The sequence below is a fragment of the Homo sapiens genome, chromosome 17, assembly GCF_000001405.40.
Source record: "Homo sapiens chromosome 17, GRCh38.p14 Primary Assembly".
In the NCBI taxonomy this organism is placed as follows: domain Eukaryota; kingdom Metazoa; phylum Chordata; class Mammalia; order Primates; family Hominidae; genus Homo; species Homo sapiens.
Genome location: NC_000017.11, coordinates 4,571,744 through 4,583,200, shown reverse-complemented (window position 1 = coordinate 4,583,200; position 11,457 = coordinate 4,571,744). Strand labels below are relative to the sequence as shown.

Below are 11,457 nucleotides of genomic sequence, written 5' to 3'. Positions count from 1 at the left end.
GTGAGCATGTGTGTGCATTCCAGGTAGCCATCTGGACAGGGTGAGCCAAACTGCTCCCTGAATGCTTTCTCCAGGTGGAATCTTTAGTAGCAGCCTCCAGAGACGCTGCTGCTGCTCTTGCCGCAGACAGCACTCAAAGCCCCTCCAGGTCTCAGCACAAGAACCTGGAGTTCAAAAACCCTGGTCTCAGCCACAGAAGCCCAGTCCCTTCCCTTCTAAGATCCAAGGAAGGACCGTGTGGAGAAGCCTTGAGAGGGACTGGACAGGCTGGTCTCTAGGCTTCTCTCCATCCTCCGGGAGAAGGCAGGCTGGCTGGGCCATTGGTGGGAAGCCTGGCAGGGAGGAGGAGGTGACAGATCGTAGAGCCTGTGGCTGCCTGGGATCCATCCACACTCTCCAGCCTCAGGCTAGTTATCTGGTCTCTCCTGAGCCACATGGGAATCTCTAGGAGGAACTTCTCGGGGACGGGGCATGGCTGCTTCTGGGGCCGAAGGCGGGACTCTGTCAAGGGCAGAGATGGGGGCTCACTGTGGGTTCTGGGAAGGCAGATGGTACAAGACCATCCCCCTTGGCTCCTTTTTCTCAGCAGTCAGATCTCCGAGTCAGTAGCTGGAGATGCACCCAGGAGAGGAGAGAAGAGCCAGGAGCATGAGGAAGAGAGTGATTCTGGGGTGGGAAGGGGGCGGGATGGAGGGTCAGCACCACCCTCCGACCTGGCTCCATGACAGATGGACCGAGGCTGCAGCTCTGTTCCCAGGCCCAGGGGCTCCTGTGAGCCTTCCCTGCAGGCCCCTCCCCCACTCTCCTTTAGCTCCACTCCTGCCCAGTACCAGGCTGCGAGGGAGGTGAGGGCCCGTGAACCTGGCTGGACTCCCTGCACATTCACCAGCCCTGATGTCAGCAAGCAAGTGGAGGCCAACCTCCCACCAAGGCCTGGGGGCCCTGGCGCCTGCCCTTCCCACTCCAGTCTCCTGGCTCTGCCCCTACTGCTGCCCACCGTCGTCCTGCTCTGCTCTGAGTCTAGGCTGGATGCAGGATGCAGGACAAGCTTTCCCCAGCCCCCCTGCCAATGTCTCACAAAATCAAATCCACAGTTAGGGAAGTTACCATCTTTGGGCCTGAGGCGGGGAAACTGAGGCCCTAAGAGGGGCAGGGACTGGCCCAAGGCCACACAGCAAGGCATGCGGAGACAGTACTGGAACCTGGGCCCTGCCCCCACACCCAAGGTGCAGTACCCTCTTTCCTGCACGCCAGTCCCAGCTCACCTCCCAGTACAGCAGTCAGGTTCCACCAGGTCAGAGCAGCTCCTCCCTGCTCCCCGGATTGGCCGGAGGCCTTACTCCCCTGAAATTGCTCCTCAGAGGTCTCCAGTGCCCCCCATGGCCCTCGAGACCCCCCAGGACCACTCCCTCCTCCTCCTCACTTACGTGATTCTCCTCTTTCCCTCCCCAGTGACCTTCCTGACTGTGCTTCTGCTCCTCCCTTCACTGAGGTGGTCCCCAGGGCTCTGAGCTGGGCCTCCTCCCTCTCACCTGCACACCTGCCTGGGTGGTCTCACTCACCCCCACACCTGCACACTGCTTGCACCTCAGTGCCGACGACTCCCACTTCTCCGCCTGCCCCCAGCCTCTCCCCTGAACTTCCCACACACTCTCCAGACTCCTCAGGTCTGAGGGAACACAAGCAGGGCTTACAGCGTGGGGAAAGGACAGAAGGAGTGGGACGGCTGAATCCCCCAACTGAGGTGGGAGTGGGCTCTGTCCACCTGCCTGGCGCCACCCCTCCAGCCCTCTGCACCCCAGGTCCACATGCATGGTGCACACACACACACACACACACACACACACACACACACACACACACGGTCACGCATTGGACTCCATCCCTGGAGAGCAGGAGCTGTCTCAGCCATTAGGCTGTCCCCACACCTGGGGCAGCAGCTGGCTTTAGTAATGGCTCAATAAACATGTGTTAGTTGGGTCCTCTTGGAAAAGGGGACTCACTGGAGTCAGTGGAACCGATAGGATGCTGGATGGATGGACAATGGAGAATGAGGGAGGGAGAGAGGCAAGGATGGCTCCCAAATTCTGACTTGGGGATATGGAGGTACCATTCATTAGAATGGGTCACAGAGGCTGGGTGCAGTGGCTCACGCATGTAATCCCAGGCGTGGATCCCTCCTTTGGGAGGCTGAGGTGGGCAGATCACCTGAGGTCAGGAGTTCGAGACCAGCCTGGCCAACATGGCAAAACGCTGTCTCTACTAAAAATATAAAAATTAGCCAAGCATGGTGGTGTGTGCCTGTAATCCCAGCTACTCAGGAGGCTGAGGCAGGAGAACTGCTTGAACTCAGGAGGCAGAGGTTGCAGTGAGCTGAGATCATGCCACTGCACTCCAGCCTGGGTGACAGAGTGAGACTCCGTCTCAAAATGAAATACAATAATAAAATAAAATGGGTCTCAGAGAAGGTGCGTTAGAGGGATAGTGAGCTGTGGGGCTCCCCGGCCTGTCTACAAGCTCGCATCAGCCTCCTCACTGGGTCAAAGGCAGCTGCACACCTCACTGGGGATCCCTCCAAGCCCCTCCACCAGGAAGGAGTCAGGTTGGAGGGTCAGGCCCTTCTTGGCCCTGGCACACCCCCACGGAGGTCTCACTGTGTGGGGCAGCTAGCCGGCCTGGCCATCAAGGTCACAATCAGGAAGGTGTGTGCATCCTGCCATACCCTCTGACTCGTCGTGGTCTGCAGCCACAGGCACCCACAGGGAGCAAGCTAATGAGGCCTCAGAGGAGACGTGCACTCTAGGACTGGACCCCACCACCCTGGCAAACACGCCATTACCCCTCCTCCTCCCAAATCCTGAAATCCAGCCTCTGCCCTGGAAACTGTTGCCTTGTTATGAGATCCATAGGGGTGGGAACACAGGGCTTAGATTTATCTTTTCCTGCCAGGTTGCTGGATTCAGGAGCCAAGAAGAGCGATAAAGAGGGAGGTAGAGAACTTGGTGGAGGCTGTGCAGGAGTGGGGGCCCCATGCTGGGCACGTCTTGGAGCCTCCAAGTCTTATCTCCAGCTGGGTCCCAGGGCAGTGCCCAGGAGAGGGATGCATGGGTCTCTGCCCTAGACCCACAGCTCTGTCTGCCTGAAGCGGAGCCACAGGGGCTGATCCTGGGACCCTCCTGCCCTCTGGATAACTTCAACTCCGCTCCACCAAACCCTCCTTTAAATGCCGTCCCTCCATCCCAGCAGACATTCTGCCAGACACACGTCTACCTTTCAATGCTCATCTCTTTCCCGTGTACCTGAGGATGCGTCTGGGCATGTGTGATGCTTGCATGTGCATGTGTGGGTGTGTCTGTGTAGAGGAAAGAGCTGGGAGTTCAGGTGTTTATACTCCTTACCGGCGAGGATAGGTGGTGTGTGGAGTATGTGCACATTTGTAAGTACCCGTGTTTACAGGAGGGTTTTTCAATGCGCTTGCTTGTAGGTAGGGAATGTGTTTATATGCACACATACGTATATATGCCTCCAGTACCTGTGTCAGTGTAGACATCAGGACGTGTCCTATGCAGCTGATACTGTCCACATGCTTGTACATGTGTCACATGTGTACACATGCTTCCATATATTAAATGTTTGCAGGTATAATGTTGTGTGAGCATGAGTTTGAACACGTATATCACATGCCCCAGTTCTGGCTCACTCTAATCAGAAGTAGGCCTCTAGAAGAGGCAGATCCTGGCTGCTTTGGGATCTGCTAAAATTCTCAGCATATGGCTGGACAAGGTGGCTCACGCCTGTAATCCCAGCACTTTGGGAGGCCAAGGTGGGCGAATCACCTGAGGTTAGGAGCTTGAGACCAGCTTGGCCAACATGTTGAAACCCTGTCTCCACTAAAATAATACAAAAATTAGCCAGGCATGGTGGCGTGTGCCTGTAATCCCAGCTACTCAGGAGGCTGAGACAGGAAAATAGCTTGAACCCAGGAGGCGGAGGTTGCAGTGAGCAGAGATCACGCCACTGCACTCCAGCCAGGGCAACAGAGCAAGACTCCATCTCAAAAAAAAAAAAAAAAAAAAAAAAAGGGCTCCATCTCCGTCTCCGTCTCCGTCTCCGTCTCCCTCTCCCTCTCCCTCTCCCTCTCCCCATGGTCTCCCTCTCCCGATGGTCTCCCTCTCCCTCTCTTTCCACGGTCTCCCTCTCATGCCGAGCCGAAGCTGGACTGTGCTGCTGCCATCTCGGCTCACTGCAACCTCCCTGCCTGGTTCTCCTGCCTCACCCTGCCGAGTGCCTGCGATTGCAGGCACGCGCCGCCACGCCTGACTGGTTTTCGTATTTTTTTGGTGGAGACGGGTTTCGCTGTGTTGGCCGGGCTGGTCTCCAGCTCCTAACCGCGAGTGATCCGCCAGCCTCGGCCTCCCGAGGTGCCGGGATTGCAGACGGTGTCTGGTTCACTCAGTGCTCAATGGTGCCCAGGCTGGAGTGCAGTGGCGTGATCTCGGCTCGCTACAACCTCCACCTCCCAGCCGCCTGCCTTGGCCTCCCAAAGTGCCCAGAGTGCAGCCTCTGCACGGCTGCCACCCCGTCTGGGAGGTGAGGAGCGTCTCTGCCCGGCCGCCCTGTCTGGGAAGTGAGGAGACCCTCTGCCCGGCAGCCACCCCGTATGAGAGGTGAGGAGCCCCTCCGCCCCGCAGCCACCCCATCCGGGAGGTGGGGAGCGTCTCCGCCCGGCAGCCACCCTGTCCGGGAGGGAGGTGAGGGGGTCAGCCCCCCGCCCGGCCAGCTGCCCCGTCCGGGAGGTGAGGGGCGCCTCTGCCTGGCCGCCCCTACTGGGAAGTGAGGAGCCCCTCTGCCCGGCCACCACCCCGTCTGGGAGGTGTACCCAACAGCTCATTGAGAACGGGCCAGGATGACAATGGCAGTTTTGTGGAATAGAAAAGGGGGAAAAGTGGGGAAAAGATTGAGAAATCGGTTGGTTGCCGTGTCTGTGTAGAAAGAAGTAGATATGGGAGACTTCATTTTGTTCTGTACTAAGAAAAATTCTTCTGCCTTGGGATCCTGTTGATCTGTGACCTTACCCCCAACCCTGTGCTCTCTGAAACATGTGCTGTGTCCACTCAGGGTTAAATGGATTAAGGGCGGTGCAAGATGTGCTTTGTTAAACAGGAAAAAAAAAAAAAAAAAGAAAGAAGAAAATCCATCTCTACTAAAAATGCAAAAAATTAGCTGGGCGTGGTGGCATGCGCCTGTAATCCCAGCTACTTGGGAGGCTGAGGCACGAGAATCGTTTGAACTGGGGAAGTGGAGGTTGCAGTGCACTCCAGCCTGGATGACAGATCCAGACTCCATCTAAAAAAAAAAATCAGGATGGCTGTGATGTGGGGAAAGAAGAGAGTGAGCAGAGTTTCTTGCCCTCCTGCACCAACCTCTTGACCCCACTAAGGAAGAATTTCCCACAGGCCTCTGCGGAGGCCCAGGCTACCCGTTGAACAAACACCACCTATTCCTGCACAGAGGGGCTGCTGTCCTCCCCCAAGAGGCGGGGGCTGCGCAGGGTGTGGGGTGGAGACAGCTGCTTCCAGCCCAGATAAGGCTGTTGGGCTCAGATTTTCCATTTCCAGGATCCTCCCCCTTGGGTCCCAGCCCCTAAGCCCTGGCCCCATGGCCTGGAGAGGGCTCTACACTGACCCACTCAGCTCCCACCCTGAAAACTGCAAAGCCAGGAGGGGAGACTGAGTCCAGGAAGAACAGGCACATGTTTAAGGTCTTCAGGCAAAGCAGGGACAAGTTTGTCCTGGGCCACTGGGAATTGAAGAGGGGGTCTCTGGGGGCAGGCCAGGCCCAGCCTGGGTGGCCCTCAGAGCTCATATCCGGACTCTTGGACCTCCGGAAACCCACCCAGAGATGGGAGGAAGGAGGACTGGCCGCTCCTCTTACAACAACAGTCCCTGCACGCACTCTCCCTGTGGAGCTTGACTGCTCCAGCCCAGAGGATCTCCAACCGTGGGCCCTGTCCCCTTCTTCCCTCACCCCCTCCACAGCTTCCCACCAAAAGACCTGGTGCCTTCAGCCTGGCCTGGGCCTGCCTCCCTTCCCCCTTCTCAGAGACGGGGCCGGGGGAGGGGTTATTCATAGGCCCCGGCTCAGCAGCCTTCAGGACAAGAGGAGCCCGAGCTCCGGGGCTCTGCCCCCTGGGCCTTCCCCAGGGGCCTCACAGGCAGTGTCTGCTTTCAGCCCAGCAAAAGGCTGCGTCAGTCAGAGTGGGCAGTGGGGGTGGGGAGGCCAGGCCAAGGCAGGGGCTGGGCTGAGCCCTGGGCCTGGAGCCCACTGGAGCCGCTGCAGCCCATAGATCAGCGGGGCTTCCTCAAAAGTACCGTGGAGACTAACTGGGGCTGGGGCTGGCGGGGGAGGTCTCGGAGGCACCAGCCCCTCCTCGGCAAGGCCCGGAGGTGCCATCAAGCTGCCGCTTCCCCTATAGCCCCCAGCTGTGTCTTGATTTGACAACCTGTCCCAGCTAGGACCCCTACCCCTGACTCATGGGTCCCCTCGCCAACAGGGGAACGCCTGAGGGGGCCATTCAAGGCCCTTCCTAACCAGCCCCCCACCCACCTCTCCAACCCCCCTTTCTCAGCCGCTGCCGCCCACAAACACACAAACACAAAACTCTTTCGTGCTTCTGTGATTGTGCCTGGCCTTCTACTTCTCAAACGGACACATCCCTGCTCATCCTCCAGATCGGGGTCCAGCTTAACCACCCCCTTCTCCGGGAAGCCCTCCCTGATAAAGCCTGTCCTTACCTCCTTACCTCCACTAACCCTGCACGGTGCCCACTAGGACACATCCCTCCTCGCACTCCCCATCTTCCTCCTCCAAAGCAGGGCTTGTGTTTCTCAAGCAGTGGTCTCTGTTTAGGGTGTGTCTGTGTGGGCCACCTGCCCCCCTATCAGGTGAGGGGCTCTCTAAAGGGCAGGACCCTGTCTCCTTGTCCCTCTGTCCCCATCACTCACCCCCACTCCATCAGCCAATACTTGATGAATGAGTGAATTGCTGAATAAACAATGGATGATGAAGAGGAGAAGGGAGGGAAGGGAAGCAGGAAAGACCCCCTCTGTGTCTCCTGAGCCCAGGGTAACCGCTTGGTGTCCCAGTGGGCGGGAAAGTGGCAGGGGCAGCTCAGGCCAGGTCTCGGTGACACGGCTCGGCCCTGTGCAGCAGCCAGATCGGTCACCCTCATTCTTTCCAGATCAAAGTTCCCCCGGGGAACAGCCTGGAACCTGACACTGGCACCGGGAGGGTGGAGCCAACTGGCCCATGCAGGAGGAGGGCACCACGAGGCCGGGCGCCTATCCCCAGATCCAGGGACACCAGGCCAGCAGCCAGGAGGGACTAGATACAATATGCACGCTTACTCCAGCCCCAGCCCAGCCCCACCTGATACCGGGCCGCACGGGTGGTGGGAGGAACCCCTGGCTCCAGGCCTTTTTGACTCGGACTCCCCAGAGCTCTAACCCCCCATGGCCGGGGACTCGTTCCTTGCACGGCCACCTCCTGTACCAGCTTTGACTCACCCCAGCTCCCTCTCCCGACAGGCTCACTTTCAGATGCCCTCCAGGTACTTCCCTCCACCTCCCAGTCTCTGTTTCTCTGTCTTTGCTCCTCTCCATCTTGGCTCTCTGTATTTTTTTTGTTTTTTTTTTTGGAGACAAGGGTCCCGCTCTGTCACCCGGGCTGGAGTGCAGTGGCACAATCTCTGCTCACTGCAACCTCCGCCTCCCGGGTTCAAGCAATTCTCCTGAATCAGCCTCCTGAGTAGCTGGGACAACAAGTGCCCACCATCACTCCTGGCTAATTTTTATTTTCTTCTTTCTTTTTCTTTTTTTTTTTTTGTATTTTTAGTAGAGACGGGTTTCGCCATGTTGGCCAGGCTGGTCTCGAACTTCCGAGCTCAAGTGATCCACCCCCCTCGGCCTCCCAAAGTGCTGGGATTACAGGCATGAGCCACCAGCCCGTATTTCTGTATTCCTCTGTATTCTTTGTTCTCTCCTGGGTCCTGTATCCCGTATTCTCTCTATCTTGCTGTGTCTCTAGACATAAAGAACCGCAGTGAGGTGGCATGGTAGCCCTCTCCTCTAAGGAGGTAGCTGTCTTCACATATCTCCCTCCTCGCCAGGCCCTGGTCCCTACAGCCTGCAGGGAACAGATTGGTCCTGATGGTGGGCTGGGGATGGGAGAGAGTGGGAGAGAGACCCCATTGACCCTGCTGCAGCCAGGCCTCCTTGGCAGTCTCGGACTCTTGCGTCTGAATCTAGTGAGTAGGCAGGGGGAAGTGGGCAGAGCATGTCTGGGTCAGAGGGCTGGTGTCCCCAAGCCAGGCCCTGAGTCTGCCACTCTCCTGTCCTTCCCCCTTCCACTCTTGGCTGTGGACAAGCACGCCACTGTCAGAGGTAGCGTGGACTTCATGTCCCCCACCCTTGTATGCAAGCTAAGGCACGAGGGCACACAGGTGCACACACAGCAGAGAGATCCGCGGGACTCTGGATCCCAGTCATGGCTCACCACTCCTTGGGCCTCAGTTTCCTTATCTGTAAAATGGGGATCATAATAACAGTATCTGCATCCTAGGATTGTTATGAGGATTAAATTGGCTTATGTCTGTAAGTCCCTTACGAAGGCCCTTATGTCTGCTACATAGTGATCACACACACACACACACACACACACACACAAGAAAATGAATGAATATGCATATATGTTTAAAATTGACTCTTAATAAAAACTAGAGGTTGCTTTCACCTTTGTCCTGTTGCCCCAGGCTGAGCTGGACCTTGGTCACCAACAGGTCCAAACAGGCTTGATGTGAGTTGTTTTAATGCAAGTTGAAGAATAACACACAGCTCCGGGGTATGTGCATTTCTGCGGATCTGCTTGTGGAACAAAATTTAGTTCGTAACAGCAGCGGTATCACACACGTAGATAAGTTACAATGTTTCTGATTGAGATAGTTCAAACCATCTCCTTCTGCTTCAAACATATAGACATGAGATCTTTTAAAAAGTAATAATGACACAAACATGATCAATAACAAAAGACAGACAGTTTTGTAGACCAAAAATGGAGATTTCTCCTTAAGAGAAAGGAGACAGGAGCAGGCAGGGGAGACAGGAGCTGGTGCTGGCAGTCTCTGGGGGCGGGGAAGACAGCAGAGCTGAAGTTGGAGGGGATGGGCCACGGTGTAGATGCCGAGCAGGACTGGGGCCTGAGCCTGGCTGGCACTGGGACCCACGCTGCCAGTTAGTGAGCATGAGCCAGAGTGCCTACGCCTCCTCTCCAAGGTCATGGCAAAGACCACGCCACGTGCCTGTGGCTCAGCAGAGCCACCAAGCTCACAGGGACTTTCCCAGAAATGCATCACTCACATGAGGTGGAGCCCCATAGTAGACACTTCTGAGGAAACCTCTGTCTGGAGCCCAGCCCAATATGAACCAAGCTGAGGCCACCAACAGATGGCCTTGGTTTTTACAGACTCTCCAGACAACCTCACAACCAGGAGGCTGAGGCAGGAGAATCGCTTGAACCCAGGAGGCGGAGGTTGCAGTGAGCCGGGATGGCGCCAATGCATTCCAGCCTGAGTGACAAGAGTGAGACTCTGTCTAAAAAGAACAATAACAACAATAACAACACCTCAGTAACAAAATCACCTGATTTTTTAATGGGCAAGAGATTTCAACAGACACTTCAGCAAAGAAGATATATGAGTGGCAATAAGTGAATAAAATGATGTCCAATATCATTAGACATTAGGGAAATGGAAACTAAAACGATAATGAGATGCCACTACACACACACACATACACACACACACACACACACACACACACATATACACACACACACATAAACATACACACACACACACATATACACACACACATACACACACACACGCACAACCTTAAAAACTGACAATACTTAAGTGTTGCCAAGAATATAGAGCAACTGAACGTTCATCCAACGCTGGTGGGAAAGCAAAATGGCAGAGTTATTTTGGAAAATAATTTGGTGGTTTCTTGCTGAGTTAACCATATACTTACCATATGACCTGGCAATCTCACTCAGATATTTATCCAAGAAGAATGAAAACATACCTCCCCACAAAGCCTTGTACACAAATGCTTATAATGCCTATATTCATTATAGTAAACAATTGGAAACCATCCAGTCTACATCCATGGGTGAATCGATACATTGTGGTACATAGATACAATAAACACTACTTAGCAATGAAAAGAAAAAACGGATGCACGCAATGACATGGATGCTTCTCAAAGTCTTCATGCTAAGTGAAAGAAGCCAGATATGAACAAGTACATCTGGTATGATTCCATTTACAATATATAAGTCCTCAAAACATGATTTCTTAGGTAAACAGCAACATATAGGGATCAAAATCAGATGAGTGGTTGTCAAGGAGCAGAGGTGAGGGGTGGAGCAAAGGGGTACTAGGAAAATGCTTGGTTGTTGGAAATGGTCTTTGTCTTTTTTTAAAGTGTTAGAAATAATGTTTTATTGTCACCCAGATGGTATTTGAGTTTATAGTCTTCATGCTTTATATTTTTTTGTAAATTAAAAAAATTACAAGTTTTAAATAGCCAATGGCTGGTTATGTTTTCAGAAAACACGATTAGACTAATTCATGAATGGTGGCTTCAAGCTTTTCCTTATGGGCTCCAGAAAATTCACCCACCTTTTGTCCCTTCTTAAAACACTGGAATGTTGGCATGCATTCGGCTTCACACTCTGAAGCAACATCCTGACAGTCATCCACATCTACTTCAAGGAATACCACGCTGGAATACTTTCCAGAGAGGGGATAAAGAAAGGCTTGATCATTTTGCAAGGCCCACACCACGTGGCCGAGAAGTCAACTATTACAAGTTTATCGCCTGTGGCATCCAAGGCTTCCTAAAAAGCAAGTTTGCTCTCGATCTCCTTCACCATCTTGGCTGCTGAGGTCTGAGGAGCGGCTTTTTTTTTTTTAATAGGGAACTGACCGTATTCATTTGTAGCCTGTTACCCCATAATTCTTTAGGATGTTCAAAGCTGGAGTGACCATATGCCCGTCCCTGTTCCTCTTGACACTCAGTGAGAGGCAGCCATCTGAGTAAGTGGAAGTGTGATATTCGCTCCGGGCATTATGTCATGAGCCTTAAATCCAGAATACACTGGATTGAGTCTTTCAGCCCAATAGTTTGCCGCCGTTGCCAGATTTGGGAGCATCCGAGGAGAGACCTCAAATCATAATGGGGTGGTGCAGGGCTCCCCCATACTCAAAAAACTTTCCGTGTGTTTTCCAGGCAAGTGTCTTTCTCCTCGAATACAACAATCTTGGTTACAACTGACAGTAGTGCAATAGATCGGTCAGTACACTGATCCAGGAACATCTTGATGGTATAGCATGTT

The 11,457-nt window shown here is 54.2% G+C and overlaps 1 pseudogene, besides 1 other annotated feature; it reads right to left on the bottom strand.

The window, feature by feature from the left end:
* Positions 346–919: an enhancer, noted in NCBI's record as "H3K4me1 hESC enhancer chr17:4485577-4486150 (GRCh37/hg19 assembly coordinates)". NCBI's record gives its function as "activates a minimal SCP1, AML or CMV promoter by ChIP-STARR-seq in naive H9 embryonic stem cells {active_cell/tissue: H9 hESC(naive)}" and the evidence as "EXISTENCE:reporter gene assay evidence [ECO:0000049][PMID:30033119]".
* Positions 10,535–11,023, bottom strand: TXNP4 (thioredoxin pseudogene 4; annotated as a pseudogene).